The following is a 15,186-nucleotide window of genomic DNA, read 5'->3' as shown; positions in this document are numbered from 1 at the left end:
TTAAAATGAAAATATGAAACTCTATTTCTTGATAATAAGCCCCATTCTTCTCACATCTTTACATTTCTGGGAAGAAACGCATCTTTTTTTTTTTTTTTCTTTTTTTTTTTTTTGAGACGGAGTCTCGCTCTGTCACCCAGGCTGGAGTGCAGTGGCACAATCTCGGCTCACTGCAACCTCTGCATCCCAGGTTCAAGCGATTCTCCTGCCTCAGCCTCCTGAGCAGCTGGGACTACAGGCACACGCCACCATGCCTGGCTAATTTTTGTATTTTTAGTAGAGACGGGGTTTCACCATGTTGGCCAGGATGATCTCGATCTCCTGACCTCATGATCTACCCATTTCGGCCTCCCAAAGGGCTAGGATTACAGGCGTGAGCCACTGCGTCCGGCCGAAAAGCATCTTATGTTTGATGTCAATAGGTCCTTGCCAGCTGCCAGGCCTCAGTCTGATGCAGCACCCCCAGCCAGCATGTGAGCGTGCCTGTGAACTCAGCAGGCTTAGATGGCGCTGGCTCATGCAACTGCCACTGAAATTACTCCCATTCCTAGCAATACATCCGACTTCATTTTAACTTAAATTTGAAACCCTCACTGCCACTTGAAATATTTTCACAAACCGTGCACTCACACATGAAAAGTGACAATGTATGTAGAAGACTATGTAGACGATTGCTTTTCTTGTGCCAGGCAATGCAAGGAAAGGCACTCAGGATCTATGAGAGAATGTTCAAAGCTAAAAGAGCTCAGTGTGTTTTGGTGATTGATATGGTTGGGATGTTTGTCCAAATCTCACATTGAAATGCAGTCCCCAGTGTTGGAGCACGGGCCTAGTGGGAGGTGACTGGATCATGGGGGCAGATCCCTCACCAATGCCTTAGCAACATCCCCCTGGTGATGAGTGAGTTCTCACTCAGTGAGTTCACGTGAGATCTGGTTGTTTAAAAGAGTCTGGGACATCCTCCTCCTCTCTGTTGCTCCTGCTCTCGCCATGTGACCTGCCTGCTCCCCTTTCACCTCCTGCCATGACTGGAAGCTTTCTGAGGCCCTCACAAGAAGCAGATGCTGGTGTCATGCTTCTTGAACAGCCTGAGGTACCATGAGCCAATTAAACCTCTTTTCATTATAAATTACCCTTTCTGTATGGCAATGCAAATGGACTAACACAGTGATCACCAGCCAGGCACCAAACAAGCTGACTTGCAAGGCGGCAGATGGGGGGAGTTAAACAAAGCTTTAACCAAACAGGAAATGTAGCATCAACCTCAGTATTTGTCAATGTGTTTCAAAATTATAATATTAATCCTAAAGGTGCCAGAGTAAATCATGATCACAAGTAAGAAAAGTGGCCAGTTTCACTAATACAAGCGTTAAGTGTCAATGGTCAAAAACTGATTTACAAGAATTTTTAGATTCAAACTGAAAGAGGTAGATTCAAATTTTGAGTGTGATACTGAAGGAGAAAGCGGAATATAGTACATGCATAAATTTATGCTATGGAGAAATATTTCTACACTTTGGGAGGCTGAGGGGGGCAGATCACTTGAGGTCAGGCGTGCAAGACCAGCCTGGCCAATGTGATAAAATCCTGTCTCTACTAAAAATACAAAAATTAGCCAGGCATGGTGGCGGGTGCCTGTAATCCCAGCTACCTGGGAGGCTGAGGCAGGTGAATCACTTGAACCTGGGAGATGGAGGTTACAGTGAGCTGAGATCGCGCCACTGCACTCCAGCCCGGGAGACAGAGCGAGACTCCGTCTAAAACAAGACAAAACAAAACAAAAAAGAAATATTTCTAAATATTTAAAGTAGTATTTAATATTTTCCCTCAGCTGTACAAAATTCATGATGCTTTTACAACTGTGACATCCTAAAATCTTGGAAATATGTCATATTGAAGTCCTAAGAGCATCTAGAAAATTATACCTCCCTCTGGGAGAATATGCAAACCACTTTCTGATAACTACATTAGCAGTCCAATGTAACCAAGTAATTACTTCACATAATAGAAACAGAGCTGCATCCTTCTGAAAACACAATGTAAATGTGCCTAGGGATTACACGTGCATCCGATCTGTGCAGACTGAATCCCATTTTAAATGCACTAACAAAACTTGCTCTTAAAGCGACTCTGTTTCAGTTTCTTCTATAATTACTCTCCCATTTACTGACTTCTCAAATGCAGCCTTTGGAATTTGCATTTTCTTTCTTTTTTTTTTTTTGAGACAGAGTCTTGCTGTGTTGCCCAGGCTGGAGTGCAGTGGTGTGATCTTGGCTCACTGCAACCTCTGCCTCCCGGATTCAAGTGATTCTCCTGCCTCAGCCTCTCTAGTAGCTGGGATTATAGGCACATGCCATCATGCCTAGCTAATTTTTGTATTTTTAGTAAAGAAGAGGTTTCGCCATGTTGGCCAGGCTTGTCTTGAACTCCTGACCTCAAGTGATCCGCCCACCTCGGCCTCTCAAAGTGCTGGGATTACAGGTGTGAGCCACCGCGCCTGGCCTTGCATTTTCTAATAGCAAGGCAAAGTCAGAGTTGTGCAGGTTTAGGCACTATAAATTCATTAAACAAATGTTGCTAATGGATGTTCTGTGTTCTAGGCACTGCTGTAGGTCCTGGAATAGTGCACGGAACCAGGCGGATGAAGAACGACGGTGTGCGTGCATGGGTGCGTGTGTGTTCTATATAATGTTTGAGACAATGAGGTCAGTGGCCACCCTCTGATAGACCTGAGGAGAGTGAGGGAGCCGGCCATACAGCTGTCTAGTGGGGAGAGTGGTCCGAAGGGGAGAAACAAGTACAAAGGCCTAAGGCAGGAGGGAGTATTACGTGCAAAGAACAGGAGTCCAGTACATGAGTTAGGGGAAGTAGACAAGTAGAGGGAGATTAAGTTAGAATGGGGCACGTATGTGCATGTATGCTTGGTGTGGGGGTGTGTGTGTAGCGCGTGGTGTGTGTGTGTGTAGTATGTGGAGTGTACGTGAGATGCAGGGCCTTGTAGACCATGGTCAGAGGCTTTGGATTTTACTCTGTGTGAGAAGGGAAATCACTGGGGGATCTTAGGGATAGATATGGTGGAAAGACTGTGTGTGTGTGTGTGTGTGTGTGTGTGTGTGTGTGTGTGTGTGTGTGTCAGAGACAGAGAAAGACAGAGAGAGACAGAGAGAGACAGAGAGAAGAGAGGGACAGGGTTTCACTCTATCACCCAGGCTGGAGTGCAGTGGCATGATCACGACTCACTGCAGCCTCTAACTCGTGGGCTCAGACAAGCCTCCCACCTCGGCCTCCAAAGTGATAGGATTACCTGTGCTTGCCACTGTGCCCAGCCAGAATGATTTCTTTTCCACTGTTTCTATGTTTCAACCCCAAGCAGTGACAATCAGCAAAAACAGGAGAGTCAATGTCAACGTTTTTCACTATTCACTAATTTTCCCTTTCTCTACTCATATAAGGCTTGTGACATTCAAGATTTGACCTCCTTCACTGAAATATTTACAGTTAAAAAACAAACACAAAACCACCAAATTTCTTTCTAGTCATCAACTTCCTAGGAAACAATTAGAAACATTTTCCTCCGGATAACTTCTGCGGTACCTTTACCATGGGGTAATTTTTTTTTTCAGATCAACTTCCAGCTTTTATTTATTGATTTATTGATTTTTATTAACTTTTATTTTAGGTTTGGGGGTACATATGAAGGTCTGTTACAGGAGGTTTGCTGTACAGATTATTTCATCACCCATGCATTAAGCCCACCACCCAACAGTTATCTTTTCACACACGGTAATTCTCACTTCACTCATTTATGCCACTCGCGCAAAAAGCAGTTCTTTATATCTCAAACAGTTCTTTTCTCAGAAGTCTGCAAAACATTACAGAAGGAATGTTTTACCTTTTTAAAATTAATCCTTATCATCACCCCTATAAATACTTAACATATAAATGTATGTCCCAACTACTTCCAAAAAGATTTATAAGACATCGAATCCACTGGGCCAGCAGATGGAGAGAGCGATCCAACCCCTGATGATTCTTTCTTCTATGACATTAGTCTTACCAGGCAAGAAGTGAGTGTTAAAATTGCTTACTTCAGAGTAAAAAAATTCTGGGAAGATCAATGAGAAAGGGGGAAGGATAAAGTACTATTTCTTTGCTGACTGCTCAAAGTAACAAGGTTTTGGCTGGACGCAGTGGCTCACGCCTGTAATCCCAGCAATTTGGGAGGCCGAGGTGGGCGGACCACCTGAGGTCAGAAGTTTGAGACTCTGGGAGGCCGAGGTGGGCAGATCACCTGAGGTGTGGAGTTTGAGACCACTCTGGCCAACATGGTGAAATCCTGTCTCTGCTAAAAATACAAAAATTAGCCAGGTGTGGTGGCATGCACCTGTAATCCCAGCTACTTGGGAGGCTGAGGCACGAGAATTGCTTAAACCCAGGAGGTGGAGGTTGCAGTGAGCCGAGATCGCTCCACTGCACTCCAGCTTGGGTGACAAAGCAAGACTCCGTCTCAAAAAAAAAAAAGTAACAAGGTTTTTTGCTAGCTCATCTTGGCTCTGACCCTACTTAGAAGAACCCTAAGTTCTTCTACTTGTTTACATAGTTATGTCATGTATTTTTACCCATGCTTTGGCATTCTTTTTTATATCAACTAAGAACCTATAAGCTGCCAAAATCTGGATGATCACAGTTCACTGTAACGGCCAACAAGGGACATATCAACTGACTGGGATGGCATTTTGTAATTAAGGAGTGAAATGCTGGCACTTCCCTGCCAAAGGAACCGAGTAGATGCACAGACTCTCGGCAGCAAAAACAGTAGTAAGGAACAAGAACAAACAAGACCTATTTGGGCAGAAATGGAAAAGTGGGTGGCAGCACGGTGCGGTGGTGAACATGAGTCTGGATTCAGGATGCTCAAGTCTGAATGCATTTCTATGATTTTGACCCTCTTGTCTGTCCCCCCGGCCCCCCCGTTCCCCCTGCCACTTCCTCACAGCAGGCTACAGCGAGGAGTAAAGGGGCTGATACATGGACAGAGCTGACACCACATCTGGCGCACAATGCTCCATGAGTATTTGCAGCTATTTTTATACACTTGGTACATTTTATTCCTCCTAGTAGGGAGAGAATTTAGATCTGAGGCAAGGCTGGGGTGTTAGAAGTCCAGAAAGAGAGGTATTAGTAAAAGCAGCACACAATCTGATACGGTTGTTAGAGAAAGTCACAACTAAATAGGCCAGGGAGAGAGAATTTCTCCCACAGAAAATTTACAGTAAAACAGGTAACACAGCACTTTTACCATGTGGAAACTGGTTCCTAGGAAGGATGCCTGCTTTATTACTATAATCATGCAATAGGATTTTATCTACGTGAAAAAGACACTTTCACCTTTGGGAAATTTACTTGAGAAATGGTGATAAAATGTTCAGCGTAATACAAATATCAACCTTCCTGAATCAATATTCAACCTTGCATCAACATTCCTCTGTCTCTTTACGTATTCTCTAATGATTCTTCTGAACACCATCGAATTGAATGAAGTGTACCTAACTCCTACTGCAGTCTCTATTTATAGCCTGGAGTTATTTTTGAACAGTGCTGGGCACAAACACCAACTCAGTCCACAGGAAACTTCAATTTAAGAGCAAAATTGTAAGACAATGAGTCAGAGGATTAGAAAGAAGGTGCTATTATATTCTCTTGCTCAAAGTCACCTACACAACCCAAGTAGTGCTTTTCACTCGGTTTCCAGGGGTAAACATTCAGCAACATCCGGAACTATGTTTCAGCCTCTGCGGTCATTTCAAAGGCTCTTTAAACAAATGGGGTCTGGCTTCACTGAGGTCCAGGAGGTGCTAAGAGAAATTTAAGGCTAGACATGAAAGCAAAGTCACAGTTATGCAGATGGTATGACCTCATATGTTCTTCGATGGATTGCCCAGACTGAGCTCAATGGGGGTGAACAGGGGGGCGGTGGAGGCTGGGAGGGGGTGGGAAGGGAGCACGCACGCACACACACACACACACACACCTCCCCCAAATCCCAGCCCCTCTCCCGTTACTAAATAGCAGCAATTCATGCAACTGTACTTAAGAAAACATGCCTCAGAGAGTACAAGTTGTCACATCTGGTAGTTCACAATAACATTCTCGCAATAGATAAATGAAGGGTCCCTCATTTTAGATCTAAAGGTGGATAAACTTGATGACTGATCTTTAATCTGTTTTCATGCTTTTGAAAAATGATTATACATAAAGTTTTCCTCCAAACTTGCCAGGCGACAACTCTGAAAATTCTGGGGCCAGACACAGTGACTCACTCCTGTAATCCCAACATTTTGGGAGGCCAAGACGGGCAGATCACTTGAGGTCAGGAGTTCGAGACCAGCCTGGCCAACCTGGCAAAACCCTGTCTCTACTAAAAATACAAAAATTAGCCGGGCATGGTGGCGGGTGCCTGTAATCCCAGCTACTTGGGAGTCTGAGGCAGGAGAATCACTTGAACCCAGGAGGAGGAAGTTGCCGTGAGCCGAGATTGCGCCATTGCACTCCGGCCTGGGCAACAAGAGCAGAACTCTGCCTCAAAAAAAAAAAAAAAAAAGAAAGAAAGAAAGAAAAAAAGAAAATTCTCCTATGTGCTACTTTATCCCATGAGAAGGTCTGAACACATCAATATACTCTGGAGCCCACCTCATTTGACCCTATCCTGCCTGGATTCAAAGCACGCCCCTTGTTAGAGCTTATAGAAGTTAGTTCCTAAGCATCTACGCACATGCAGGGGTAAGACTCCATTCCTCTGATACCTGGACCCAAACTGGACACAAGAAAAATCATCACCACCACCACCACCTTCATCATCACCATCACCATCATCATCATCTTCTTCTTCATCTTCTTCATCACTACTGTCCCCAGAAAGTGCGAGGAAGAGGAAGGAGAAAGGATTGTCGTACATACTACCACAACAAAAGCAAAAAAGGCCATCAGAGAACAAAGAAAAAACAAGACGGGGAGAAGCTTTTGCAACTGCTGTCCTTTTAAATAAACCATACACTAAAACTTTTGGCCACTGACATGCAGAAACATAATTCACCTAAATTATAGAAACACATACAGGTACATTTGAGAGAAGGGGCCACTGGATTAGTGGAATTCTGATACTGCTTCCTTCTAAGAGACTGAACTTACATATAACTAAAACTCAACACGTCAGGACATGAACCGACCCACCCCACTCACCAGAAGTAAAAAACACCAGGCCCAGATTTGCTCCCACACCTGCTTGGTCTGATAGCATTTCAACTACCACTGGCAACAGGACAAAAGGCCAAAAAGGGTTCCTGTGTGCCCCAACTCTCAAAGGGAAGAAAGGGATTCACAATAGAATAGAGCAACCCAAACTTTCCAGCATGATTAGAGCCTGGCAGAAGCATGGACTCAGAGTACGTGCCTACCAAACTAGTTAGCCACACAGGTTAATAACCCAAAACAACAATTTAACAGAGTCAGTGTCACACAGCACTTCTTCCAAACCGTGTTAATCTCCTTTCCCTGCACCGCAAACACACATGCAACTCTCCTGTGGGATAAATACCTAGGAGAGATCCTCAGGGAGGAGGGGCGTCTGCTCGTGGCACTGGGTGAGGCGGGTGGTAGGGGTGGACCCGTGCTGCTGGGCCTCTGTCTGGAACTGCTGGCGGGCACTGCTTGGGGGCTACTGGCGAGGGCAGGGGGACTTGGGGAGCTCGACAGAATGGAGACGCCTGAGGACGCCCATGGGTGAGTGACAGTGTAGGGGCGATACCGCGGGGATGAAGGCTGGCTTCCCGCAGCAGTTCCAGAGGCTGCACTGTGAGGACTGAGGGGAGTGGAAGGCACAGCCAACTGGCTGGCTGCACGGGAAGGTGAGGCAAGAGACGGGCCCATCACGGGAACAGAGCTCCAGAAACTGGGAGTGGGAGCCGGACTACTTTCATAGAGGCTAAATTAGTTGAGAAAGGGAGGAAAGAAGAGAAAAATCAAAGAAAAACTTGAGATAACTAACTAAAACAGAAAATATCAAGCTTTTAAAGGAGAATCATTTCAGTTCAAGTATATCTAGCAGATAAACATCTAAATAATTATAATCTAATTGCCCTATTGATCTAGAGGCTATACTTACAAGACGATAAAGTCCCCATTCGAAGAATGATGTAGTATACACAGCCAACTGCTTCTAAAATTTCATCTAGCAATATCTTAACCATAGAGAGCCAAAAAATAATAATCTAGAAAAGAGAATTCCACTTCCAATGACTAAATCCACCTCCCCAAATATGATATATGCCATACCCTGTATGACACTGATTAACACTGTCAACAAACATTCCCTTCTCCTACGTAGTTCACAGTTATTTTACTACCAGTAAGATGTGCAAAGAGAACCACACTGACCTAGACAAAGAGCTGGCACCAAAGGAAGCCACGCTGCAGAACATGGGGCTTGTTCCTGGATTGGAGCCAGTGTTTAGCAAGAGATTTCTGTCTGGTGACCGTGCTGCTGCAGCAATTGGCTGTGATGTGGCTGTCAGACTGGCAAATGGGTTTTCATCTCTGGTCTGAGTGGACATCATTAGCACTTCCATTAAAATCTGGCCAATCAAGTCCTTAAAATCGGAGAATACTGTTGGAAAGGCAGAACAAAGAACAGGTTACACACAGTTCGAACACAGGTTACACAGCCCTTGAATAAGCCAGCTGACCCCAAATGGTTCGATGCAGTATCCTGGATTAGATTCTGGAATGGTAAAAGGATATTAGTGGAAAACCTAAATAAAGCCTTGTGTTTAGTTAGTAGTAATTTCTTAGTTTTGACAAATGTACCATGGTTATATAAGATATTAACGTCAGGGGAAACTGGGTAAAGTATATATAGGAACTCCCTGCACTAACTGAAACTATTCCAAAATTAAAAGTTTATTAAAAAGAAAGTTGGGGTACAGTCATTGAGAGTTACCGCTGATGTATATTAATTGTAAAAAGAAGCTACTCCCAACTATAGAGGTTACTTTATTATACTACAAATGCAACTGGGTTAATATTTCTTAGTCTAGATATGTTTTATAGATAGTAATAAAACTATTAAGTCCAAGGTTCAAAAGATTTTATGAAGGGTCCAACATCTAGTCACCATGTGGCTTTCAGGAGCAAATGCTACATTCTAGCTTCCTTCTTATTCTTTGCAGCTCCCAGTTGATTTACTGTTGGTCTTTAGATACATTTTAAATACCACTAAACAAAAGTTTTAACTCATGGAAATTTTATCTGATTTGGTTATTTAAAATTGCCACTTACATGTGTAAGACAGAGTTGCCACTTAACATGTGTAAGACACTTGTTTTAACAAAAGTTTTAACTCATGGAAATTTTATCTGATTTGGTTATTTAAAATTGCCACTTACATGTGTAAGACAGATTTGCCACTTACATGTGTAAGACAGAGAATCTTAAGATTTATAATAAGAATAACAAGTAGCAGAGTTTCAAATACATGGTCTGCTCCATTAGCAGAGTTAATAAGTAAAATCAGAAATAGTCTTATCTATCCTCCAGAAATACAAAGGACTTTTTTTTTCCCTCCTCAGAAGATAGGCAGCATAGAAAAGAGAAAGGTGATCTCCTTGATATTCACGCATCCATTTAAAATCTATCTATTGAGGGACTATTTTGTGCAAGATATCCTTCTAGGGATACATCAATGAGTAAAACAGACAAAAATCCCTACCATGAGGGAAGTTACATTCCAGTGATAGGCCAAAAAAACCACTCCAGCACACCTCCCATACCTCTTCTGCGTTCCAAATGACTACTGTAAAGAAAAAGGATAGTGCCCTATGATGCTGATATCTTGCTAAGAGTTTTATTATTTTGTTACAAGCTTGGCCTCTTAAAGTGGAATATCAGAAACACAGCAAAATGTCATTATGTTCTATCTTGCTAAGCAATTTAACCAAATAGACCAATTCCACCGTCTATACATGGCTTCATAGGCACTTAAAGCAGGTATAGCTCATACAGAACACTTCTCTCAGGATCCCTGGAGACCACCCACTATATCTATACTTCATAAGAGGAGGTAAGGCCAGGCTCGGTGGCTCAAGCCTGTAATCCCAGCACTTTGGGAGGCCGAGGCAGGCAGATCACGAGGTCAAGAGATCGAGACCATCCTGGCCAACATGGTGAAATCCTGTCTCTACTAAAACTACAAAAATGAGGCCAGGCACGGTGGCTCATGCCTGTAATCCCAGCACTTTGGGAGGCCAAGGCGGGCGGATCACGAGATCAGGAGATCGAGACCGTCCTGGCCAACATGGTGAAACCCTGTCTCTACTAAAAATACAAGAATTAGCTGGGTGTGGTGGCGCATGCCTGTAATCCCAACTCGGGAGGCTGAGGCTGGAGAATTGCTTGAACCCAGGAGGTGGGAGTTGCAGTGAGCCAAGACTGCGCCACTGCACTCCAGCCTGGTGCCAGAGCAAGACTCTGTCTCAAAAAAAAAAAAAAAAACAAAAACAAAACAAACAAAAAAAACTACAAAAATTAGCTGGGCGTGGTGGTGCACGCCTGTAGTCCCAGCTACTCCAGTGGCCGAGGCAGAAGAATCACTTGAACTCGGGAGGCAGAAGTTGCAGTCAGCTGAGATCATGCCACTGCACTCCAGCCTGGTGATAGGGTGAGATTCCATCTCAAAATAAATAAATAAATAAATAAATAAATAAATAAATAAATAAATAAATAAAGAGGAGGTAATGCTCTAAGCACCTTCTTACTACAAAGAGAAAAACTTCAACCCTGAGAAAATGGAGACCATTAACCTATTTACATAGTATTATAGAAATCATGGAAATGAAAAATAAGTTATCGATAAGATCAGTGGAAAGGGAAGAAAGTGGCTAAACAATTGTGTCCTCATCAAGAAGTATCCCTGTCATCAAAAATACAACCCAAGAGCAAGATGGAGTGAATGTGGATAACAGAGGGCAAAGATCTCACATCTTATTTTCTTGTCGAGTACTCTGCAGTAAGACTGCTGAGCTAGATTCCTACCTTCTTTTGGGTTCTGCTTAAACTGTGCAGAAAGAGAAGAAAGAAAGATGACATCTCTGTCCCGGTCCTTCCAAGAGACACGGAAGATCTTACAGACCAGCTGTAAGGCCTGCTCTTCAGACACTTCAGGGCCCGAGGAAGGCTCCTGGTGAAGAAGAAGATTTGCAGGTTAATTTCAAATAAGAGGTATGAGTTAGGTGTTTCAATAGGAATACGTTATTCTGATTTAATTCATTATTAGTGATGATATTTTAAAAATGCATGAAACCATTCACCCACTGATTAGGGGAAAAGTAAGCCTATTCCTATAACATCAAAGTTACAACATCTAAGTCTCATGAGCTTACAATACAATCTATGGGGAGCATAAAAGAGCAAAGATGGCCGGGCGTGGTGGCTCACACCTGTAATCCCAGCATTCTGGAAGGCCGAGGCCAGTGGATCACCTGAGGTCAGGAGCTCAAGACCAGCCTGGCCAACATGGTGAAACCCTGTCTCTACTAAAAATACAAAAATTAGCCAGGCGCGGTTGCGGGCCTGGCTACTCGGAGCTACTTGGGAGGCTGAGGCAGGAGAATCGCTTGAACCCAGGAGGCGGAGGTTGTGGTGAACCAAGATCACGCCATTGCACTCCAGCCTGGGCAACAGAGTGAGGCCCTGTCTCAAAAAAAAAAAAAAAAAAAAAAAAAAAAAAAAAAAAAGAGCAAAGTCATTATCAAAAGTCACCAAGGAAAAATATGTGACAGAGGATGTACATATCCTATCTATTTACTTTTCTGAATTCCATAGGACCAGGTTAACACTCCAGGTGCATGACCAATTTTCCTCCAGGAATTTTTCAAAATTGTAACATTTCTCATTACATACCACCACAGATAAAACAGCATATAAAAAAGAATTTTGTAAACATTAAAGAACTATACAAAATAAAGCACTGCACCACTAGGAGGCTACAGTGCAACTTCTTATTTTTTCCTTTGTTTGTCTTTATTTTTGTTTACAGTGCAACTTCCAATAATCATTAACATGTGTTGCTAAAGGATTCCTAATAATTTACTAAACAGAAAGTGATGTAATTATCTATATTAATACACACACACACACACACACACACACCCTAAATGCAGAGCACTAAGCTCAGGTGATATTCAAATATAAAGGCTTCATGTTTTCCAAAACCTTCTACTTGCGACTAGATTCTACATATTCTTGCTTCAATTCCCAGTCATTTTCCTCAGAATACTGCTAAAGATGTGATGATCTACTTGCTTAAAAGCAAAAGACCAGGCCAGGCGCAGTGGCTCACGCCTGTAATCCCACACTTTGGGAAGCCAAGGCAGGTGGATCATAAGGTCAATAGATCAAGACCATCCTGGCTAACACGGTGAAAACCCATCTCTACTAAAAATACAAAAAATTAGCTGGGCGTGGTGGCGGGCGCCTGTAGTCCCAGCTACTTGGGAAGCTGAGGCAGGAGAATGGTGTGAACCTGGGAGGCGGAGCTTGCAGTGAGCCGAGATCGCACCACTGCACTCCAGCCTGGGCGACAGAGCGAGACTCTGTCTCAAAAAAAAAAAAAAAAAAAAAAAAAAAAGCAAAAGACCAACAGAAAGAATTCTAATTTGCTCTAAATTAGTTCCTATTACAACCTAAATTTACTGATAAAATCATGGCCCTGAACCAAAAACAGATGGATATTATCAGATCAAAGGACTGAGTTACACTTTCATGAATAAGGGTAATCTAGGTTATTCATTTTTCCTCAAAAGAATAAAAATAATCACCTGCCTAGGACTTCCTGATTTCGGGTGGCCCCAATCTAACAGACTCTACAGATACAAGACATGAAATGTGTTTATTTCTATTACCTGTACCAAGGGCTTCATCGCTTACCAACCTTATCACTGAGGCTCCGCTTTTCTCTTCGATCATTTTCATCAACCTCCATGTTTTCAATTCCTGAATCCACATCCACCTGGGACATGCTTAAAGTACAAAAGACAAACAAGCCTTTTACCTTTTATAAATCCGCACAATGTCACTGTAGCTGCTGGGTGAGAAAATGTTTTAAAATATCAGTTAATCAGGAAAGGAAAATGATAATGGTCCATCTTTTTTCTTATTAATTTTTAAGAGTTCTTCATAAATTAGGATCTAAACAATTTGTCTCTTATACATGTTGGAAATATTTTTCCTAAGTTGTCATTTTCTTGGGCTTACTTTTTAAAAGTATATCATTGGCCGAGTGCAGTGGCTCACGCCTGTAATCCCAGCACTTTGGGAGGCCAAGGCAGGTGGATCACCTGAGGTCAGGAGTTCGAGATCAGCCTGACCAACATGGAGAAACCCCATCTCTACTAAAAATATAAAATTAGTCAGGCGTGGTGGCACATGCCTGTAATCCCAGCTACTCGGCAGGCTGATGCAGCAGAATCACTTGAACTCAGGACACAGAGGTTGCGGTAAGCCGAGATCGCACCATTGCACTCCAGCCTGGGCAACAAGAGCGAAACTCCGTCTCAAATAAATAAATAAATAAAAGTATATCATTAAAGTAGGTTACCTATATATAGTATTTTAAAATGACATAAAATTCAACCAGGCCAGGTATATTGGCATGCGCCTATGGTCCGAGCTACCTAGGAGGCTGAAGCTGGAGGATCACTTTAGCCCAGAAGTTTGAGGCTGTATGCACTATTACTGTGCCTGTGAATAACCACTGTATCCCAGCCTGGGCAGCATAGCAAGACTCTGGCTCTAAAAAAAATTAAATAAACATTTTTAAAAATTTAATTGAGAAAATAGGCCAGGCACGATGGCTCACACCTGTAATCCCAGCACTTTGGGAGGCCGAGGTGGGCGGATCACAAGGTCAGGAAATCGAGACCATCCTGGCTAACATGGTGAAACCCGTCTCTACTAAAAAATACAAAAAATTAGCCGGGCATGGTGGTGGGCACCTGTAGGCCCAGCTACTCAGGAGGCCGAGGCGGGAGAATGGCCTGAACCCGGGAGGCAGAGCTCGCAGTGAGCCAAGACTGCGCCACTGCACTCCAGCCTGGGCGACAGAGCGAGACTCCATCTCAAAAAAATAAAAAATAAAAATAAAAAATTTAATTAAGAAAATAAAAAACTCAACTGAAGTCTTATTATAAAAACTGGTTAAGTACATATCATTTATCCCCGATTGAACAATTGCCCTAGCACCATTTACTGGAAAGATCATCCTTTTTACATTAATATGAAAGCTCCTATGTCACGTGTCCAATTTTCATTAACGAGTGGGTCTATTTCTGGAGACTCATTACTGTTCTGTTAGACAATTTGTCTGTCCCTGGCCAATACCACTTTGTCTTAATTACTAAAACTTCACAAATCTTGATATCTGCTAGGTCAATGTCTCCACTTTATTCTTCTCCTTTAAGAGGTTTTGCTATCCTTGGCTCTTTCCTCTTCTACACATACTTAGGAATCAGCCTGAGGAATTCCTTAAAAACCCTCCCGGGATTTTGACCAAAATTTTTTTCACTCTTAGAGATCAACTTGGGGAGAAGTAATATATTACTGAGTTTTCATTACTCTCCAAGTATTAAGATCTTCTTTAAGGTCTATCAATAAGCTTTAGTAATTTTCTCTATAAAAATTTTATACTTCTTTTGCTAAATTTATTCCTAGGTACCATATGTTAATACTTTTTAATGAAATTGTGAATGGCACCTTTTTAAAAATTACGTTTTCTAACTTTTTGTTGCTGGCAGACAGGAATGCAACTGATTTTAAATATACACTTCTTATAAGCAACTTATTTATTTATACATAGAAAGTTTACATGTAAATAATTTTTTCTTTTTTAGACAGAGTCTTGCTCTGTCACCCAGGCTGTAGTGCAGTGGTGCAATCTTGGCTCACTGCAACCCCTGCCTCCCAGGTTCAAGCAATTCTCCTGCCTCAGCCTCCCAAATAACTGGGATTACAGGCACGCACCACCATGCCCGGCTAATTTTTTTTGTATTTTTAGTGGAAACAGGGTTTTACCATGTTGGCTAGGCTTGTCTCGAACTCCTGACCTCAAGTGATCTGTCTGCTTCGGCCTCCCAAAAG

The 15,186-nt window shown here is 42.7% G+C and overlaps 1 protein-coding gene across 8 annotated transcripts in view, besides 1 other annotated feature; it reads right to left on the bottom strand.

The window, feature by feature from the left end:
• The window catches only part of UBE4B (ubiquitination factor E4B), a 148,282-nt gene that overhangs the window by 67,062 nt on the left and 66,034 nt on the right, over window positions 1-15,186 (bottom strand). For 5 of the 8 annotated variants that reach the window (NM_001410744.1, XM_011540490.3, XM_011540489.4 and 2 more), the window contains 5 exons: window positions 12,983-13,070; window positions 11,086-11,230; window positions 8,434-8,662; window positions 7,595-7,981; window positions 6,804-6,956 (listed from right to left, as the gene is read on the bottom strand). In NM_001410744.1, the coding sequence (NP_001397673.1) occupies window positions 6,804-6,956; window positions 7,595-7,981; window positions 8,434-8,662; window positions 11,086-11,230; window positions 12,983-13,070 (1,002 nt within the window). Of the gene's footprint in view, window positions 1-6,803; window positions 6,957-7,594; window positions 7,982-8,433; window positions 8,663-11,085; window positions 11,231-12,953; window positions 13,071-15,186 lie in introns of those variants that run through there. The other 3 variants (XM_017000035.3, NM_001105562.3, NM_006048.5) reach the window with 3 other exon arrangements.
• Window positions 4,954-5,454: an enhancer, noted in NCBI's record as "H3K27ac hESC enhancer chr1:10168782-10169282 (GRCh37/hg19 assembly coordinates)". NCBI's record gives its function as "activates a minimal SCP1, AML or CMV promoter by ChIP-STARR-seq in primed H9 embryonic stem cells {active_cell/tissue: H9 hESC(primed)}" and the evidence as "EXISTENCE:reporter gene assay evidence [ECO:0000049][PMID:30033119]".

The sequence above is a fragment of the Homo sapiens genome, chromosome 1 (assembly GCF_000001405.40).
Source record: "Homo sapiens chromosome 1, GRCh38.p14 Primary Assembly".
NCBI classification, from domain to species: domain Eukaryota; kingdom Metazoa; phylum Chordata; class Mammalia; order Primates; family Hominidae; genus Homo; species Homo sapiens.
Note: the sequence above shows the minus strand (reverse complement) of the source record. Positions and strands in the feature narration are given on the sequence as shown.